The following is a 4,407-nucleotide window of genomic DNA, read 5'->3' as shown; positions in this document are numbered from 1 at the left end:
AATCTCCTCCTTTATGGTTTGAGCTTTCAGAATCTTATATAAGAAATCATTTCTCACCCCCATAGAACAGAGTTCTTTCTTAATTAACTACTTCCTTAGAATACATTATTTAGAAATGGTATTGCTGGGACAGTAAGTATTTATTAGATCCTTTTGCTTACAATGGAAAGAAATTTAGCTCAAACAGCATAATGTAATCAAGGAAATTTATTGGCTCACTTAACTGAGAGATCAAAGGCATGGGGTCAGCTTCAGGAACAGCTGGATCCAGGAGTTCAAATAATGTAATGAGGGCATTGGTGCTGTGTCTTCCCATCTTTGCCCTGTTGCCTGGGCTTGATTTTCAAGCAAGAAGTCTCTATGTGGTGTCAAGAAGGAACACTGGCCAGTTTTGTCCCATGAAGTCTACAGAGGTTGCAATTGTCTTTCCTGGTATCCCGGGGAAAAGTCCTGAGGAAGGCTTTGCCTAGTAGCTTTGAGGTAGGAGGTGGGACTTACTCCAGAGGTGGGGCTTGGACACTGGACTAAATTGAGGATTAGGTAAAACAGGTCCAAGGCGGAAGTAGCTTTCCATAAGACACGTACACCAGTGTGCCATGTCAGTTTACTATTGCCATGGCAACACCCGGAAGTTACCACCCCTTTCCATGGCAATAACCCGATGACCCAGAAGTTACCACCCCTTTCCTAGAAATTTCTGCACAATGTGCCCCTTAATTTGCATGTAATTAAAAGTGGGTATAAATATGACTGTAGGACTGCCTTTGAGCAGCGACTCTGGGCACACTGCCTGTGGGGTAGCCCAGCTTGCAAGGAGCCGTACCTCTGCTGCTGCTGTGCAATGCCGCTTCAGCAAAAACTGTTGTCTAACACCACAGGCTCGTCCTTGGATTCTTTCCTGGGTGAAGCCCAGAACCCTCCTGGACTAAGCCACCATTCTGGGGCTCGCCCGACCTGCATCAGCTTGAGTCTCACATCTACCCTTGGGAATAGGGAGAAATGGCTCTTGATTTGAAGCATTCTGAACCGCCCCCCACCCCGCCGAGAAAAGGAGAACAGTGGTTTCCCAGAAGGGGACATACTGGACAAATAAGCATATGTCCATATTTTTTTACTTTGTGATACATGTTGGTTCCAGAATAGTGAACCAATTTCCATTCTCAGAAATAGCCATGAGTGTGTCTATTCCTTTATGACACCCTTCCCGACAGTAGGTATCATCATTTTAAAGACATTACAAGTTTAATAGACAAAAGACGACCCTGCGATTCATTTGATTTTTTGTTTGTTTTGAGATGGAGTCTCAATCTGTTGCCCAGGCTGGAGTACAATGGTGCAATCTCTGCTCACTGCAACATCCATCTCCTGGGTTCAAGCGATTCTCTTGTCTCAGCCTCCCGAGTAGTTGGGATTACAAGTGCCTGCCACCATGCCCAGCTAATTTTTGTATTTTTAGTAGAGATGGAGTTTCACCATGTTGGCCAGACTGATCTCGAACTCCTGACTTCAGATGATCCACACGCCTTGGCCTCCCAAAGTGCTGGGGTCACAGGTGTGAGCCACCATGCCCAGCCTGATTCATTTAATTTGATTTTCTGTGATTACTATGGGGGTTGAGCATATCTTTAAGTATTTATCAGTCATTTGCTTTGAAGGGGTTTTCACGTATTTATTGGTCATTTGCTTTGGCGTGTGACATGGTGAGATCATTTCTTCCCCTTCACAGGGCACAGCACTTGCTGGGTAATAAGGGAAATGGCCGGTTCTCTGGTTGGGATGCCTAAATCTGAACCTGGGAGTAGAAACTAGGGTGAGATTCTATTTTATGAAACAAAGGTGGGCCTGCCTTCAGCAGAAGCCTGGGGATACGTTTCCTAACCTATTGTTGTTTGCCTGATAACCAATGTCACTTTCTTTCCCCAACCTGGCAATAGCTTATATTATCATTCATTAAATGGGAGTCCTTCTGAATTTCTGTCTTCTACATATTCATGGAGACTGGGGGTTTTTGTCCAGGCACCATTTCGGACCAGAAGGTGAACGCTTTTAGATTTCAGAATCATGGGAATGTCCCCTCCTACTCTGTCCCACTGGATTACAGGAGTGTGGACGAGGATACAGCACCAGGCACACCTGTGCTTTGATGATTCACACCTGAGACCACCAGCAGTCTCCTCCTGCTGGAGCTCCGTCCATGAGGCTTCTTACCACACGTCCTTCAGGCACTCTCCCAGAATCATGTTTGTCGCCCACAGCAATCATCTCTCTGTCCAAGGCTGGCTGCCTGCTGGCTTGCTTCCTCTTTGGCCCTGCGGTGGCCACTCCAGTGAGGTCCAGCTGGGTGCTTGACCAGTCCGGCTTCCCCTTCTGACCCAGGACCTCCTTTCTTACCAGGGACAGATGGGGTCCCTGCAGCAGAGAGCAATGCCTGAATGGTCAACCACTCTGCATTCACTGACAGCTTTCATTGTTTTACAGTGCATAGCTTTTGAGTGCACCAAAATCATGATTCCCATTCAAATCCTTCAGAGCTAAAAAGTTTTTCTTCTTTTTAAGAGAATTAGTTCATATAAATATTTAAAGTAACAGATACAACACACTAAACAAAACCGAACCCAAGAAAGCCTTCGAAACCGTCGTTTTATTTATGTCCTTGTGAAGATTAGTCTGGGATTGATAAAGAAGGATAGGAAGCGGTCCCTTTCCTCTGGGAGCACGCAGAGTCAATGGCGGGACAGGAGAATGCTTCCTTGGTTGGGGTGTGAGCCAGGGACCAGTGGGAGTGCTGCTGGTGGCCGACTCCACCCTCAAGGACCCTCACACCTGGCTTCTTCATTGTCCTGCCTCTGGGAGACTGCACCCAGCATGAGGAGAGTCACTCAAAAGCTCTCCAAGTTCCTGCAGAGTCGCCTCAGGGGCCCCTGAGACCGTGCCCATCCCATGGTGCTCCTCTGAGCGCACTGACTGATCCTCCACAAGTGCCGCCATCCTCCCTGCTGATCCTGCCCCCGACAGCTAACAGAGCGATGGGGCTGCTGGAGGCCCAAGTCGGCCCCCTCCCGGAATCAGCTAAAGTAGGTATCTAGGCAGGCCAGGTTCCCCAGACAACCACGCCTTTTGTTCAGGAATCTCTTGGAGCTGCCAGGAAATCCAGAGATGGTGGAGGAGGGCACCCACCCATCCTGGGTCCTGGGGAGCTGACCTGGTCCACCCTTCTTGTGCTGGAGCAGGTCAGTCATCACCCAGGAGCCCTGGGCTGGGCCCAACTCATGCATGAGGTGGCTTAGGGCCTGTGTAGCTTCTGGCCGGGAGGCTGATTCTGAGGGAGCAAGCTGACGGTTCTAGGCGGCAGGGCCTAGAGTGCAGCCTGGCCTATACATGCAGCTTAACATGTGACTGATAAGTGTTTGGATCCAAGGTTCGGGTCATGTCCTCCACTTGTGTGTGTGCATCCACACATGGTAAGGGGGAGCCGTGGAGCAGGGGATCCCTGATTTTCCATATGCCCCGAGTTTCCTTCTTTGTCTGATTCTGCACAGATTTGAGACACCTGCTCCAGCCTTCCTTGTGACCCAGGGGTGGCTCTGTCCAGAGATAAAAAAAGGGCAAAGAGGGGCTGCCTCATGGTCATCTGATGGGCCCGGGCTGTACTCTCCATGGAGTGGCATCTGCCTAGGAGAAGACATCCCTCGGGAGATCTGGTGTCCTTGGCCCCCGCCTGTGAGGGGCAGAGCCAGTCAGCCTTCAGATGAGACAGAAAGTGGGTGCCCACCAGGTTGCGTAAGGGTAAGTCACAAGCCAGGAAATGGGTATTTGGTGACCACAGCTCAGGCATGGACTGGAGATGCATGAAGACTCCTCATGGCAAACCCTTTGCTTGCTCTGCTGGGTCACAGGACACAAAGCACCCCAGAGACAGGGGAGGCAGTGCGGTAGTTGAGGCTTGTCATGCACCCTGGAGACTGGCTGGATGTCTGAGTGTTCCTGGTGTGGAAGACAGCGTGGGAACTGCCGTGATTCTCAAAGTGTGGCGTGGAGAAGCTCCACACGGTGGCCTCAGACAGATCCCCAGAGGCAAGTCATGTATTGTATCTAAGGGCCGAGTGCACAAGTCCAAGGACTTGGTTTCATTTATGATCAAGCGCTCTTCCAAATGAGTTATCAACAACTTCTAAAAAGGAGCACTCAGAAGCGAAAACTAACATGTCACTAGCATGTGCTGGAGTTAATTTGTTTAGCTGCTAGCAAAACTGGCTGCCACAAAGAGCCAGAAATTTCTTTTCCTTCCTTCCTTCCTTCCTTCCTTCCTTCCTTCCTTCCTTCCTTCCTCCCTCCCTCCCTTTTCTCTCTCTTTCTTTCTTTCTTTCTTTCTTCCTTCTTTTGTTGACAAGTTCTCACTCTGTTGCC

Source organism: Homo sapiens, chromosome 2, assembly GCF_000001405.40.
Source record: "Homo sapiens chromosome 2, GRCh38.p14 Primary Assembly".
Taxonomy (NCBI): Eukaryota; Metazoa; Chordata; class Mammalia; order Primates; family Hominidae; genus Homo; species Homo sapiens.
Note: the sequence above shows the minus strand (reverse complement) of the source record.